General features: G+C 42.3%; 1 protein-coding gene across 4 annotated transcripts in view, besides 7 other annotated features; it reads left to right on the forward strand.

Annotated features, from left to right (window-relative positions):
* The window catches only part of IL21R (interleukin 21 receptor), a 49869-nt gene that overhangs the window by 738 nt on the left and 33302 nt on the right, over window positions 1-15829 (forward strand). Inside the window, exon 2 of one of the 4 annotated variants that reach the window (XM_011545857.4) lies at window positions 133-309. The exons of 1 other annotated variant lie outside the window; for it this stretch is intronic. In XM_011545857.4, the coding sequence (XP_011544159.1) occupies window positions 260-309 (50 nt within the window). In that variant the 5' untranslated portion in view covers window positions 133-259. Of the gene's footprint in view, window positions 1-132; window positions 310-13238; window positions 13369-15829 lie in introns of all 4 variants that reach the window. 2 more of the 4 variants (NM_181079.5, XM_017023257.3) reach the window with 2 other exon arrangements.
* Window positions 2552-3140: an enhancer, noted in NCBI's record as "H3K4me1 hESC enhancer chr16:27416784-27417372 (GRCh37/hg19 assembly coordinates)". NCBI's record gives its function as "activates a minimal SCP1, AML or CMV promoter by ChIP-STARR-seq in primed H9 embryonic stem cells {active_cell/tissue: H9 hESC(primed)}" and the evidence as "EXISTENCE:reporter gene assay evidence [ECO:0000049][PMID:30033119]".
* Window positions 2552-3729: a biological region, named in NCBI's record as "H3K4me1 hESC enhancers GRCh37_chr16:27416784-27417372 and GRCh37_chr16:27417373-27417961".
* Window positions 2915-3364: an enhancer, noted in NCBI's record as "active region_10621". NCBI's record gives its function as "activates an Ori minimal core promoter by ATAC-STARR-seq in GM12878 lymphoblastoid cells {active_cell/tissue: GM12878}" and the evidence as "EXISTENCE:reporter gene assay evidence [ECO:0000049][PMID:35858748]".
* Window positions 3141-3729: an enhancer, noted in NCBI's record as "H3K4me1 hESC enhancer chr16:27417373-27417961 (GRCh37/hg19 assembly coordinates)". NCBI's record gives its function as "activates a minimal SCP1, AML or CMV promoter by ChIP-STARR-seq in primed H9 embryonic stem cells {active_cell/tissue: H9 hESC(primed)}" and the evidence as "EXISTENCE:reporter gene assay evidence [ECO:0000049][PMID:30033119]".
* Window positions 5017-5156: an enhancer, noted in NCBI's record as "active region_10622". NCBI's record gives its function as "activates an Ori minimal core promoter by ATAC-STARR-seq in GM12878 lymphoblastoid cells {active_cell/tissue: GM12878}" and the evidence as "EXISTENCE:reporter gene assay evidence [ECO:0000049][PMID:35858748]".
* Window positions 5167-5296: an enhancer, noted in NCBI's record as "active region_10623". NCBI's record gives its function as "activates an Ori minimal core promoter by ATAC-STARR-seq in GM12878 lymphoblastoid cells {active_cell/tissue: GM12878}" and the evidence as "EXISTENCE:reporter gene assay evidence [ECO:0000049][PMID:35858748]".
* Window positions 5317-5456: an enhancer, noted in NCBI's record as "active region_10624". NCBI's record gives its function as "activates an Ori minimal core promoter by ATAC-STARR-seq in GM12878 lymphoblastoid cells {active_cell/tissue: GM12878}" and the evidence as "EXISTENCE:reporter gene assay evidence [ECO:0000049][PMID:35858748]".

The following is a 15829-nucleotide window of genomic DNA, read 5'->3' on the forward strand; positions in this document are numbered from 1 at the left end:
TTCAAGCCAAACATAACATGTCAATCACCCGATTCTGGGCGGCTGAGTCGGGAGGTGACGGGCATGGGTGTAGAGCCTGATGGGACCCATTCTGTGTCAGTTTCTATGTCTTACCACCTTGATTCCACCCAGTCATTCAAAACAATGGCTGGTGTGCCCATTTCGCAGATGAGGCAATGAGGCTGCGAGAGGTAGAGTGATTTTCCCTCGGTGACTCAACTGGGACGTAGCAGGTCGGGCAGTCAAGCCAGGTGACCCCATGAGCTGTCGCTGCATCTTTCTCATGAAGCACGGGGAACGGGTCGGATGGTAAGAGGCCAACCCAGTTCCCTGTGCATGTGGAGGAGAGGAGGGTGGGGAGGTCAGTGGAGGCTGAGCCTTGAAGGATGGGAAAGGAAGAACATTCCTGGTGGAGGAGCCCTGGGGAGCGGGAACTTAGGACTTGCCGCAGGAATGACGTCTCTGCTCAGTGAAGGCAGAAGACCAGGTGCGGGACATTCAAAGCCAGGAGGCTGCTGCGAGGAGGACATCTGTGATTCCCTGGGGGGAGAGTGGGGCTTTCAGAAGCACATGGTGGAGTCGGGGAAAACCTGCCAGGTCAAAACCCGGCCACGCGCCTTCCTCACTCGGTGAACTTGGGCAAGTCTCTCTGCTTCTAGCCTTGAGAAGCCATGGTTTTCTCATCTATGAAATGGGGACCAAGGTACCCCCATCCTGGTGGAGCTAGTTGTGGGGACCTCAGGGCCGAACAGGGTGAAAGCTGTGCTCCTAATGGCCCTTTTCCTTTGAGGAAGAGAGTTTGTGGCATGAGAAGCTTTGAGCCCATGGAGACGGGCCCGACTCCAAGAGTGACAGAGGGGGAGCGACACACTCAGGCTGCTGTGGTCCTGCCTGGCCAGCCACCTGGCTCTGGCCCCCCCAGTGCCAACTCACCATGTTGTAGGCACTTAAGCGTCTCCCATAGTCCTCAACAGGTGAAGCGGGCAGCCTCATTCAGCCCATTTCACAGATGACAAGAGTGAGGCTTAGTGGGGACAACCTTGCCCCAGGTTAACTGTGACCAGATGACATGGAGCTGGGATTGGATGCCAGTCTGTAGGACAAGGCCACCACCTGCTAGATAGAATAACATGAAAACAAGACTCATGGGCTTGGGTAGCTTCTGGGAAGCAGCATTGGATGGGGATGGCGGAGTATTCATTCCCACGAGGACAGGCAACCCCCAGAGGAGAGGCCCTGCTCACCTGCTCCCCACCGTGGGCTCAGCGATGCCCCTGTCCTGCCCGCTCCTCTGCCAGGAGGGTGTCCGGATCCTTACTCAGTCCCACAGTGGAGGTAGCTAAAAGCCCTTGTGATAGGAGGAGGCAGAATCCAGGACCAGGAGAGGTGGGGAGAGCAAGGCAAAGACAGCTCTGAGCTCAGACTGCAGGCTCCCACTGCCCAGCGTTCCTGGTTTCAGGCTAGGAGAAGAAACTGGGAGGTGGGGATTAGAGCCAGTAAGGGGCTTGTGGGCAGTAGAGTAGGGGGTGGATACCAGAGGAGGAGGCCCATTCAAGAGAAAGCCAGCCACCAGAAGTTCTGGGAGGAACCCACCTCTTTGTAGCATCAGGACAACCCAGGTGCCTGATAAATAAATGAATGAAAGGAACGGGGTATCCGTTCCTTCCACAGCCAGAGAGGGAAGCTAGCGCCTTCAGCATCCTCACAGGCAGGCACAGGGGCCTTCTCCACACAACTAGGAAGGGGTGCCTGCGGTTAGATGGGGGAACTGGAACTGGCTTCCCAGCACACCACCCCTTGTGACTTTGAGCTGTGGAACTGGCCAGACCTGGGTTCAAGTCCACCGCTTAGTACCTGTGTGACCTTGAGGAAGCCACCTAACCTTTCTGCAGCTCAGTTGCTGCATCTGTAAGAGTGGAAATAGGAATAAGAATGCCTGTCTTAGGTCTGTGGTGAGGATTTACTCAACCTATTCTTCATGGAACATCTACCATGGCCCAGGCACCTCCCTAGGTCCTGAAGCTCTGGGGTACACAGAGAGAGCCAGTGTGATGGGGAAGGCAAAAGAGCTGGGCACAGATGGCTCATGAGAAGTGCCCGCTATCATGTTTTACTTTTTTTTTTTTTTAATTTTTTTTTGAGACAGAGTCTTGCTCTGTTGCCCAGGCTGGAGTGCGGTGGCGCAATCTCAACTCACTGCAACCTTCATCTCCCAGGTTCAAGCGATTCTCCTGCCTCAGCCTCCCGAGTAGCTGGGACTACAGGCACCTGCCACCACACCTGGCTAATTTTTGTATTTTTAGTGGAGGCGGGGTTTCACCATGTTGGCCAGGCTGGTCTTGAACTCCTGGGCTCAAGTGATCTGCCTGTCTCAGTCTCCCAAAGTGCTGGGATTATAGACATGAGCCACCGTGACCGGCCTATGTTTTACTTTAAATATGTAAGAGCTCTTTGCTTTTAGCTATGAAAATACAGAAAAAAAATAATAAATATTATTGGTCATATTGGCATATATGAGACCTCAGTAAATAAGAGCTCTTATGATGATTCTGCTTCCCCCCTTTTACAGATGGGGAAACTGAAGTTCAGAGCAGGGTGGGGGTTTTTCTAGGGTCACTCAGGGAACCGTCTAGAAGGGAGCAGTGAAAAGAGGGGAACAGATGCTTCCTCCAGGAAGAGGGTCTTCTTGCCCTCGCAGCCCCTTCCTCACATGCCCTCCTTCCCTGCCCTCCGGAGCCCCCGGACACGTGAAGGGGAGGGAGAGGGGGCAATGGGAGGAACCCACCCCCACCCCTGGCTCACAGGTGCCACCGCCCCCACTCCCTGCCCTGGCCCCAGGCCAAAGGGACTTTTCATGACAGCTCAAATGAGACCTCTGAGTAAACTTGGAACTTCTGAAACGACCTGAGAATATTCCCCAGGCTGGGGGGCAGGGGCCACAAGGAGGGCCCCCGACTGCCCAGGACATCTGCATCAGGAACCCAGCCTGCTGATCTCTGCAGCCCACAGGAAGGATCTGGCCACCCCGACCCCTGCCCTGAATTGTCCCCGGGGAGTTGGGGCAAGTGCACCAGCCCGGGTCCTAGCCCAGGCCCCTGCCATCCCCCACTGTGTGAACAGGACAAGGCCCTGGGCCTCTCTGGGCCTCCTTTCCCCATCTGCCAAGCGGGCTTGACTAGGACGAGGGCTTGCCAACTTTCCCCAGAATGAATCAGTAACACCAGTCCACTTTGGCCAGGGCCAGGGCGGGCTGATGGGGGCTGCTGGGAACTGAGGGGAGAGAGACGGTGGGTGGCCAGCTCCGCTCCATCTCGTGGCATAGTTCAAAGCCTCCTTTCACTGCTCTACAAGCGGCCCCTCCTGGGCTGGAGGAAATGGAGCTGGAGTGAGATCTGGCTGCAGAGGCTGAGAGATTGCAAGGTTTGGGCAAGGCTGCAGAGGATGGCAGGGCTTGCAGGGAGATAGAGATTGCACAGGCAGCGGGGGTGGGGAGTGGGGGGTGCGGGTGCTGGGACTGGGACCTCATGCTCCACAGCTAGGAGAGGTTGCACAGGCTGGAAGAAGTGCCAGGAGGGAAAGATTGCTGGAGCTAATAGAGATTTGCTGCCTGGCTAGGAGAGAGAGATAGGCTGAGAGGTCGCACAGCCTCAGAGGTTGCACGAGCTGGGGAGGAGAAGGCCCTTCCTCTCACCTTCGTCTTCTACTGATTAACTGTAAGCCTGAGGTCCCCAACATACCTGCCTTCAGACACCCATAACCCACCCCTTGCCACTGGCGAAAAAAAAAAAGATGAAAAGCAACTAACACTAACCACACACCTAATACTAACCACACTAACCTGCCTCACACTCCGCATCCAGGCTAAGCCTGCTGCCCCCATTCCACAGATGAGGAAAGCTGAGGCTCAAAGAAAGGCAGAGATACGGCCAAGTTCCCACTGTGAGTGAATGGCAGAGTCTGCTTTCTGACCCAGGGCCACTGGGCTAGTTCTTCCCCAGCCTGAGAACCCACTGAGATGAGAACTTGCTGTGTGACCCTGGGCAGCCCACTGTCCTTCTCTGAAAGTTCCTTGTTACTAATCTGATGACATTAGTCATGATTATTCACACTCTGGAAGCAGAAGATGTTGCCTGAGGTGGGTCTGGGGGGAGTTTCTGGGGACAGTGAGGAAGCTAATGAGGAAAGCAGGACCTCTTAGGGGCTGTCTCCATTTTTAGCCTCATTCATTCATTCACTTAACATTCTTCTTCAGCTACTTATGGGGCACCTACAGGTCCCCTTCTCTGCACTAGGGATACTGTGCTGAACAAAATAGGTCAATTACCCAGCCTCTGAGAGCTCATGCTTCAGTACAGAAACAAGTTACAAACACATACACAGAGACATTTACAAAACGATTCCTCATCTTACACCTGCTATGAAGGAGACAAACTAGGGGATGTGGGCTACAGAGATCTGTGGCGTAGACCCAGTTCAGATAGGGTTGCCTCTTTGAAGAGGCAACACTGAACTTGAAACCTGAGGATGAGAAAGGAAAGAAGCTGGGGGAAAAGCATTCTAGGCAGAGGGAAAGGCATGTCCAAAGGCCCTGATGCAGGAAAAAAAGATTGAAGCATTAAAGCTTTTATCCTCGGCCAGGTGCGGTGGCTCATGCCTGTAATCCCAGTATTTTGGGAGGCCAAGGAGGGTGGATCACCTGAGGTCAGGAGTTTGAGATCAGCCTGACCAACATGGTGAAACCCTGTCTCTACTAAAAATACAAAGTTAGCCAAGCTTGGTAGCCCATGCCTGTAATCCCAGCTACTTGGGAGGCTGAGGCAGGAGACTCACTTGAACCCGGGAGGCGGAGGTTGCAGTGAGCCAAGATCGTGCCACTGCACTCCAGCATGGGCAACAGAGCAAGACTCCATCTCAAAAACAAAACAAAACAAACAACAACAAAAAACGTATCCTCACCAAATACATAAGGCTCTCAATCCCCTAAAGCTCCAGAAAAATGGGTCAAAAAGGGTAAGATTTAACTTTGGAGTGTACGGTCTACATAGGTCTTAACATTGAGGATAATGTTTGTTCACAATTCGTTTCCATAGAAAGCATTCTCTTTCATTTAGTCACTCATGTAGCAAATGTTTTGAGCACCCACTGTAGGCACTGGTTAGTTACTGGGGATTCAGCAGTAACAAAGAAACACACTGTCCCTGCCTAGATGGTGCCCAGAATATAGATGAAAACACCATGAGCTATGTACTATGTGGAGGGTGGACCCCAGAGGAAGGAGTGACTCATGCTCTTTGGAGAGGTCAAAGATTGACAGAGGAGCTGCCATTTGAATGGGATTTTGAAGACTGAGTAGGAGGCTAACAGTCAGTCAAAAAGGGCAGATAGTTTCCGTGGCTAAAACAGCACATGCACAGGTGTGCAAGCCAGGTGAATGGAGCATGTTGGTGAGGCTGTCAGTGGTCTGATGAGCCTGAAGTCCAGTATGAATACTGGGGGCTAGATCCCGAAATGCCTTGAATACCAGACAAGGAATTTGGGGTTTTTCTTTTGTGGATAACAGAGAGCCATGGAATGACACGGTTGGAGTAAGAATGGAGTTGGAGGAACCACAGCTCTGTAGCTATAGCAGGAAGGTCAGAGAGGAGGACCAGCAGGAGAGCAGGTGGGCAGAAGTCCTTGAAGACCCTGGATAACTTTAGGAGTTCTTTCTTCTGTGTTCCCTCTCGGGAAGTCCCTCCGCCTTAACACTTCCTCTTCTGGTGACCTGTTGGCTCCTGTTCCTGGCACTTCTGGGGAGTCCCTCTTCGCCCACCTCATTTCTTTGTGATCCCTATAGGAAATAGGGCCATTTTACTTTTACCACACTACCCACCTTTCACTTTCAGCCCCATGTCCCTACCTGGGTCACATTGCAGAGAATGGCCGACTTGAGGAACTAGACGCATCCCATTCCTCAATCGTGTGACAGAAAAAAGATACAGGGAAACCAAGAACTTGGGTTCTTTCCAGTGTGGGGAGGTTGTAAATAATGGCTGCTATGAACATGCTGGTACATGTCTGCTTGGGCACATATGCTTGCATTTCTCTTTGGTTATATAACTTGGAAGTGGAAATGTTGAGTCTCTGCTCAGCAGAAGTTTTCCAAAGTGGTTGTGTCGATTTACACTCTTACCAGAATATTGAGTAGAGACAGAGAGTTTAGTTACTCTGTATCCTTTTCAGCACTTGGAATTGTGTTTATTTCTCTCTCTCTCCATATATATATTTATAAAAATAAATTATATATGTTTATTATATATAATTTATATTTTATAAATATATATAATATTTATAAATAAATATTTTTATATTTATATTTTATTATAAATTTACATATATATATAATTCTTTCCCTCTTCCTCTTTCAGTTTCTTTTCCATTCTCTTAATGGAAACTTTTGATCAATAAAAAATCTTAATTTTCATGAAGTTTATTTATAAATCTTTCTTTATGACCAGAACTTTCTATGTGCTGTTTAAGAAGTGTTGCCTGCAATAAAGTGATAAAAATATTATTCTGTGTTTTCTTCTAGACGATTTACTGTTTTACCTTTCACATTTAGGTCTACAGTCTATCTGTAGTTTATTTTTCTGTATGGTGTAAGGTAGGGGTCAAGGTTTACTTTTTCCATATGAATATTCAATTAATATACCATCATTTAAGAAAACATGTTTTCTCTCCACTGCCTTGCACTGGTGACTTACTGAAAATCAAGTGGTTGAATACATGAGTTTATTTCTACTGTTTCTGTTCTTTTCCATTGGTTAGTTTGTTTTTCCTTGCAACAATGCCATACTTTCTAAATTACTTTATAAATCTTGACATTCTTCTTCAAAATTGTCTAAACTATTTTCAGTCCTTTGTATTTCTATATAAATTTTAGAACTATCTTGTCAATTTCCACCAAAGAAAATCTTGCTGGAGATTTTTTTCTTGAAACTTTGGATTTTACTGAAACTTTACTTCAATTTGGGGGGGACTAGCATCCTTAAAGTATTAAATTTTCCAATCCATGAACATAGTATGTACCACCACTTATTTATGTTTTCTCTAATTTTTCTTAGTAATGTCTTGTAGGTTTCTGTGTAGAAGTCTTGTACATCAACTAGGTGCAGTGGCTGACACCTGTAATCCCAGCACTTTGGGAGGCCAAGGTGGGTGGATCTTTTGAGGTCAGGAGTTCGAGACCAGCCTGGCCAATGTGGTGAAACCCTGTCTCCACTAAAAATACAAAAATTAGCTGAGTGTGGTGGTGCATGCTTGTAATCCCAGCTACTCAGGAGGCTGAGGCAGAATTGCTTGAACCCAGGAGGCGGAGGTTGCAGTGAGCAGAGACTGTGCCTCTAGTGACAGAGCTGAGTGACAGAGCAAGACTCCATCTCAAAAAAAAAAAAAAAGTCTTGTACATCTTTCATTAGATTTCTTCTCGGATATTTGATTTTTTGATGCTGATGTAAATGGCATAATTTTAAAATTTCTTGACTGTTTGTAGTGTACAGAAATATAATGAGTTTTTATACTTTACAACTTTATTAACACTTTTTAAAGCTAAAGTTCCAGATGTTAAAAGAAATAGCTATCAAACCCAGCCCACTTCAACTGACCACCAGTTGAGGGCTTCCTGCCTTTCTTTGCTTTTGTAATGTTTATGGATCCTTTCCTTTGCTAATCTAACAAGAGAGGGTATTGTAGTGCAAAGTATAGTGTCCCGGGTTTGGATTTTATTAACCAGTAGATCTTTTTTACCCTTAACAATTTTTAGATGTGCAGTACAATATTGTAAACTGTATGCACATTGGTTTACAAGAGATCTCTAGAACTTTTTCCTATTGCATGGGTGAAACTCTATACCCATTGAAAAACAACTTTTCATTTCTCCCTCCCCCAGTCCCTGGCAATCAGCATTCCACTTTCTGTTTCTATGAGATTGATTACTTTACATACATCATATAAGTGATACAATGCAGTATTTGTTTTTTTGCAATTGGTTTATTTCACTTTGCAGAATGTCCTCAAGAAGCATCCATGTCGTAACATATGACAGGACTTCCTCCTTTTTAAAGTCTGAATAATATTCCATTATGTATGTACTACATTTTCTTTATCCATTCACCTATCAATAAATTTAGGTTACTTGCTCATCTTAGCTATTGTAAATAATGCTGCAGAAACAGGTGTGCAAATATCTCTTTGAGATGCTGTTTTTATTTCTTTTGGATATATGTCTGGTATTTCTATTTTTTTAATTAAAAAAATTTTTTAAAGTTTCGCATCATTTTACAATCCCACTAAAAGTGCACAAGGGTTTCAATTCTCTACATCTTCACCACCATTTGTTCTTTTCTTTTTTTTTATAATAACCATCCTAACAAGTGCAAGATGATATCTCATTGTAGTTTTAATTTGTATTTCCCTGATGATTAGTGATATTGAGCATCTTTTCGTATGCTTAATGGGCATTTGCTGATCTTCTTTGGGGAAATGTCTATTCATGTCCTTTGTCCTTTTTTTTTTTTTTTTTTTTTTTTTTGAGACAGAGTCTTGCTCTGTTGCCCAGGCTGGAGTGCAGTGGTGTGATCTTGGCTCACTGCAACCTCCGCCTCCCAGGTTCAAGCAATTCTCCTGCCTCAGCCTCCTGAGTAACTGGAATTACAGGTGCCTGCCACCATGCCTGGCTAATTTTTGTATTTGTTAGTAGAGATGGGATTTCGCCATCTTGGCCAGGCTGGTCTTGAACTCCTGACCTCAGGTGATTCGCCCGCCTCGGCCTCCCAAAATGCTGGGATTACAGGTGTGAGCCACCACACCCGGCCATTTTTAAATTGAGTTATTTGTTTTTGTGTTGTTATTGAGTTGTAGGAGTTCTTTGTATATTCTAGATATTAACCCCATATCTCTTGTATGGTTTGCAAATATTTTGTCCCATTCCATAGGTTGCCTTTTGATTCCGTTGATTATTTCCTCTGCTGAACAGAAGTTTTAAAGTTTGATGTAGTCTCATATGTCTATTTTTACTTTTGTTGCCTGTGCTTTTGTTATCACACACAAGAAATCATTGCCCATTCCAATTTCACGAAGATTTTCCCATATGTTTTCTTCTAGGAGTTTTATAGTTTCAGGTCTTATGTTTGGGTCTTTAACCCATTTTGAGTTAATGTTTGCATATGGAGTAAAATAAGGATCCAACATCATTCTTTTGCATATGGATATTTGGTTCTTCCAGCACTATCTCCTTGAACAAACTTCCTTTTCCCTCTTGTATAGACTTAGTGCCTTTGTAGATCATTTGACTATATACACAAGGGTTTATTTCTGGGCTCTCTATTCTTTTCCATTGGTCTGTATATCTATCTGTATGCCAGTACCATACTATATTGATTACTGTAGCTTTTTAATACATTTTGAAATCAGGAAATGTGAGGCCTCCAGCTTTCTTCTCCTTCTCCTTCTCCTTCTCCTTCTTCTTCTTCTTTTTTTTTTTAGAGTGTTCTTCTTTCTCAAGATTATTTTGGCTATTTAGGGTCCCTTGAAGTTCCATATGAATTTTAGGATGAATTCTTTTTTTATTTCTGCAAAAACTGTCATTGAGATTTTGATAGGGTTTATATTAAATTCAGTTTTCTGTGAGTAGTATTGTCATCTTAACAATATTAAGTCTTCCAATCCATGATCATGGGATGTCTTTTCACTTATCTGTGTTCTTTAATTTCCTTCAAAAATGTTTTATACAAGTCTTTCTCCTCCTTGGCTAAGTTTATTCCTAAGTACTTTTCTCTTTTTGATGCTATTGTAAATGAAATTTTTTGCTTAAGTTTCTTTTTGGATTGTCCATTGTTAATGTAAAAAATGCAACTGAGTTTTGAGTGTTGACTTTGTATCCTGCAACTTTGCTTAATTCATGTATTAGTTCTAACCATTTTTTTAATATTTAGGGTTTCCTACATATAAAATCACGTAATCTGTGAACAGAGATAATTGCATTTCTTCCTTTCCAATTTAGATACCTTTTATTTCTTTTTCTTACCTAATTGCTCTGGCTAGAACTTCCAGTTGAATAGAAATGGCAAGTGTGGGCATCCATGCCTTGTTCCTGATCTTAGAGGAAAAGGTTTCAGTTTTTTACTGTTGAATATATTCACTGTGGGCTTTTTATATATAAACTTTGTTATGTTGAGGTAATTTATTTCTATTTCTAGTTCCTTGAATGTTTTCTTTATCATGAAAGAGTATTGAATTTTTTCAAATACTTTTTCTGCATCAGGTGAGATGACCATGTGATTTTTGTCCTTCTTTGTGTTAATTTCATGTATTACATTTATCTGATTTTTGTAACTATCCTTGAATTCTGCAGATAAATCCTACTTGGTCATGGTGTATAGCCTTTTAATGTGTTGTTAAATTTGGTTTGCTAGCATTTTGTTGAGGATTTTTGCATCAGTATTCATCAAGAGTACTGGTCTATGGTTTTGTTTTCTTGCATCTTTGTCTGGCTTTGGTACTGGGGCATCATAAAATGAGTTTGGAAGTGTTCCCTACTGTTCAATTTTTGGAAGTGTTAGGGATGAATTGGTGTTGATTCTTTAAGTATTTGGTAGCATTCTCTAGTGAAGCCATTTGGTCTTGGCCTTTTTTTTTTTTTTCTAGGAGGTTTTCGATTACTGATTCAATCTCCTTTCTAGTTTAGGTCTGCTTAGATTTTCTATTTTGTCATGATCAGTATGGGTAGGTTGTATATGTCTAGGAATTTACTAATTTATTTGAAGTATCCAATTCGTTGGCATATAATTGTTCATAGTAGTCTCTTAGAATCCTTTTTATCTCTGTGACATAGTTACAATGTCTCCTCTTTCATTTCTGATTTTAGTTAATTTGAGTCTTCTCTCTTTTTTTCTTAGTTTAACTAAGGGTTTGTCAATTTTGCTGATTGTTAGAAACACAATAGATTTTTATATTGATCTCATCTTCAGCTTCTTTGAATAATAATAACAATTATTATTCTAATAGTTTATTTGTTGAGTATCGTGGACTTTTCTGGTTCCTCAATTCTTATATAACTTAAACACATAGTTTTCTAATCTTTATAAATTAAAAGTTTCTTATCATTGCCTTATTATGTTAATTAGCACCTCTAGTATAAGATGTTTTTGTTTTTGCCCTGACCTCAGTAAGGAAGTGTTCAATATTTCACAATTAAGGATAATGTTAGCTATGTATAGTGTGTGTGTGTGTGTGTGTGTGTGATCGTAATTAGATTAAAGAAGACTCCTCTATTTCTGCTTTCCTGACAGGTTTTAAAAATCATGAATGGGTGTTGCAATTTATTAAATGTGCTTTCTGAACTTATTAAATGATAATATAAATTTTCTTGTTTATTGAGTTAATGTGGTGAAATTGATTATGGTTTCTAAATGTCATACTAACCTTACATTCCTGAAATAAACCAATGTGATAATAATATGTTATCCATTTTTATAAATATTATTAGATTTGACTTGTTAATATTTTGTTTCAGATATTTTTTAGATTATTTATGGGAAAGATTGACCTGTAATTCTACTTTCCTTTAATGTCAAGTTTTGGTATTAAGACTGCCTTTTATTTCAGACATCAATGAAAGCACTGATGTGTCTGGGATTATGTCTACCATCTTGCTATTTGTTTTCTTTTTTGACCTATCTATTCTTCCTTCTTTGTTCTAGTTTTTAGAAAATCAAGTTTTAAAAATTATTATTCCATTTTTCCTATTAGTTTGTTCATTGTACTTTCTTTTATATTCTTTTTGTGCTTATCTTAGAGATTACAACATGCATACTTATTATTATTAGGATCTACCTAATATGAATTCTTCCAAAAGTTCATGGAAAATTCAAATTATGAAAAAACTATGCATAAAGTTCAAACTTTTTTCTGCACCAAAATAAACTTGTACTAACTTGCTATAACATGTCTGAACAGGATCTAGTTTGAGGCACTAAGAAGGATAAGGCGTCTGTTTGCAAAAAAGCCCCTATCATTGCAACATGAATTCTGCTAAAATTGAAGCAGGAACAAACATCAAATTTATGGTGCAACTAGGGTGGAAGGATGGCGAAATCAATGATAAAGATAAAGCCCTCCGTGGCCGATCATCCATATCAATTTGTTAGGAAAAAATTCATCTTGTTCATGCCCTAATTGAAGAGGACCAACTATTAACAGCCCAAACAATAGCCAACACCATAGACATCTCAATTAGTTCAGGTTACACAATTCTGACCAAAAAATTAAAGTTGGGCAAACTTCCCACTTACTGGGTGCCAAACCACTGTGCCCAGATCAGCTGCAGACAACAGCAGAAACTTCCATGCAAATTTTAAACTAATAGGATCAAGATTCAGAAGCATTTCCTCACATAATTGTAACAGGAGATTAAACGTGGCTTTACCAGTTCATCCTGAAGACAAAGCAGTGGCTCCAAAGAGGTAGACGAGGTTCAGTCAAGACAAAAGCAGACCGGTCAAGAAAAGCAAAGGTCATGGCAACCGGTTTTTGGGATGCTCAAGGCATTTTGCTTGTTGACTTTCTGGACAGCCAAAGAATGATAACATCTGCTTATCATGAGAGTGTTTTGGGGAAATTAGCCAAAGCTTTAGCAGAAAAACGCGCAGGAAAGCTTCACCAGAGAGTCCTCCACCATAGCAATGCTCCTGCTCATTCTTCTCATCAAATAAGGGCAATTTTACAGCTTCCATGAGAAATTAGGCATCCACCTTAAAGTCCTGTTTGGCTCCTTCTGACTTCTTTTTGTCTCCTAATCTTAAGCAATCTTTAACGATCACCCATTTTTCTTTAGTTAATAATGTAAAAAAGCCTGCATTGACATGGCTATATTCCCAGGACCCCCCAGTTCTTTGGAGATGGACTATGTGCCTGGTATCATCACTTACAAAAGTGCCTTGACCTTGACTGAATTTATGTTGAGAAATAGAGTTTATTTTTTAATTGTTATCTTTAATTCCATGTTTCCATGAGCTTTTTGAAGTCCTCTTGTACAATTTGAAGTCCTCTTGTACAAAGTCCTCTTTAACTTTATTCACCTCTTCTTACCTTTGGGGTTTCATGGTCGTGTATTTTAATTCTGCATATAGTTTACATCATTAGTATGTTAAGAAATTAAAAATCATAGTAATTCACTTATTTATTTATTTATTTTGATACAGAGTCTCACTTTCTCACCCAGGCTGGAGTCTCACTTTCTCACCCAGGCTGGAGTTGCAGCTCACTGCAAGCTCCACCTTCCGGATTCAAGCGATTCTCCTGCCTCTGCCTCCCTAGTAGCCTACACTACAGGTTTGCGCCACCACACCTGGCTAATTTTTTGTGTTTTTAGTAGAGACTGGGTCTTGCCATGTTGTCCAGGCTGATCTCGAACTCCTGACCTCAGGTCATCCACCCACCTAGGCCTCCCAGAGTGCTGGGATTACAGGCGTGAACCACCGCACCCAGCCTAATTCATATATTTAGAGTACTTTCTGTTGCTCTTCATTTCACCCTACAGTAACTTGCTTCCCATCTGGAATTATTTTTCTTTTACCTGAAAAACTCACTGTTGTATATCTCTTGATGCAGGTCTATCAGTGACAAAATCTCTTACTTATTTTTGTCTGAAAAAAAATCCTTATTTTGCCTTCATTTTCAAAAATCTGTATTTCAGATGTAATTCACAAAACTGAAAATGTACTCTTAAGATGTGCAATTCAACAAAGTTGTGCAGTCATCACCACTAACTCTATATTTTCATCACTCCAAAAACAAACCTACATCCATTGCTGTTACTCTCTATCCCCCCTCCCCTCAGCCTCAGCTCCTGGCAACCACTAACCTACTTTCTGTCTCTATGGATCTGCCAATGCTGGACATTTCATACATATGGAGTCATACAATATGAGGCCTTTTGTGTCTGGTGTCTTTACTTTAGCATGAATTTTTAAAGTTCATCCATTTTGTAGCACGTATCAGTAGTTCATTCCCTTATATGGCTAAATAACATTCTACTGCATGGATATACTACATTTCTTTATCCATTCACCAGTCGATAGAAATTTTGCTTGTTTCCAGTTTTTTGGTATTATGAATAATGTTGCTGTGAATATTTGTCTACAATGGTTTGTACATTTCTTTCTGGACATATATCCGCAATTGTTTTCTTTCCTTTTTCTTTCTTTTTTCTTTTCTTTTTTTTTTTTTTTTGAGACAGGGTCACACTCTGTCACCCAGGCTGGACTGCAATGGTGTGAAAACAGCTCACTGTAGCCTCAAACTCTTGGGCTCATGTGATCCTCCCACCTTAGCCTCCTGAGTAGCTGGGGCCACAGGTACATACCACCATGCCCAGAAAATGTTTTCATTTTAATTTTTGTAGAGATGAGGTCTTGCCATGTTACCCAGGCTAGTCTCAAACTCCTGGGCTCAAGCAACCCTCCCGCCTTGGCCTCCCAGTATGCTGGGATTACAGGCATGAGCTACTGCATCTGGTCAATTCTTTTCACTATATAACTAGGTGTGAAATTTCTTGGTCATATGGAAACAGTCATACATTGCTTAATGACGAGGATACATTCTGAGAAATGTGTCATTAGGTAATTTTGTCATTGTGTGAACGTCATAGAGTGCACTTACACAAACCTAGGTGGTATAGCCTACTACACACCTAGGCTGTATCTTACAGCCTATAATTGGCTACAAACCTGCACAGCATGATACGGTACTGAATACTGTAGGCAACTGTAACACAATTGTAAGTATTTGTGTATCTAAACATAGAAAAGGTACAGTGAAAACATAATATAAAATATGAAAAAACGGCACACCTGTGTAGGGCACTTACCATGAATGCAGTTTGCAGGATTCGAAGTTGCTCTGGGTGTCAGTGATTAAGTGCTGAGGGAATGTGAAGGCCCAGGACATTGCTGTACACTCCTGTAAACTTTATCAACACTGAACTCTTAGGCTACTCTAAATTTATTTGAATTTTTAAAATAATAAATTAACTTTGGCTTACTGTAACATTTTTCCTATTTTATTTATTTTATTTTATTTTATTTTATTTTATTTTATTTTATTTTATTTTATTTTATTTATGTTATTTTATTTTATTTAAGACGGAGGTTCGCTCTATCGCCCAGGCTGGAGTGCAGTGGCGTGATCTCGGCTCACTGCAAGCTCCGCCTCCCGGGTTCACGCCATTCTCCTGCCTCAGCCTCCCAAGTAGCTGGGACTACAGGCGCCTGCCACTGCGCCCGGCTAATTTTTTGTATTTTTAGTAGAGATGGGGTTTCACGTGCTAACCAGGATGGTCTCGATCTCCTGACCTTGTGATCTGCCCGTCTCGCCCTTCCAAAGCGCTGGGATTACAGGCGTAAGCTACCGCGCCCGGCCCTATTTTATTTCATTTTTTGAGACAGAGTCTCACTCTATCACCCAGGCTGGAGTGCAGTGTCGCGATCTCAGCTCACTGCAACCTCCGCCTCCCAGGTTCAGGCAATTCTCCTGTCTCAGCCTCCAGAGTAGCTGGGACTACAGGTGCGCGCCACCACGCTCGGCTAATTTTTTTGGTATTTTTAGTAGAGACGGGGTTTCACCATGTTAGCCAGGATAGTCTTGATCACCTGACCTCGTGATCTGCCCGCCTTGGCCTCCCAAAGTGCTGGGATTACAGGCATGAGCCGCTGCGCCCCGCCAACATTTTTTCTTTATAAACATTTTAACTTTTTAAAACTTTTTGAATAACACTTTTGTAATAACAGTTATC

Source organism: Homo sapiens, chromosome 16 (genome assembly GCF_000001405.40).
Source record: "Homo sapiens chromosome 16, GRCh38.p14 Primary Assembly".
In the NCBI taxonomy this organism is placed as follows: Eukaryota; Metazoa; Chordata; class Mammalia; order Primates; family Hominidae; genus Homo; species Homo sapiens.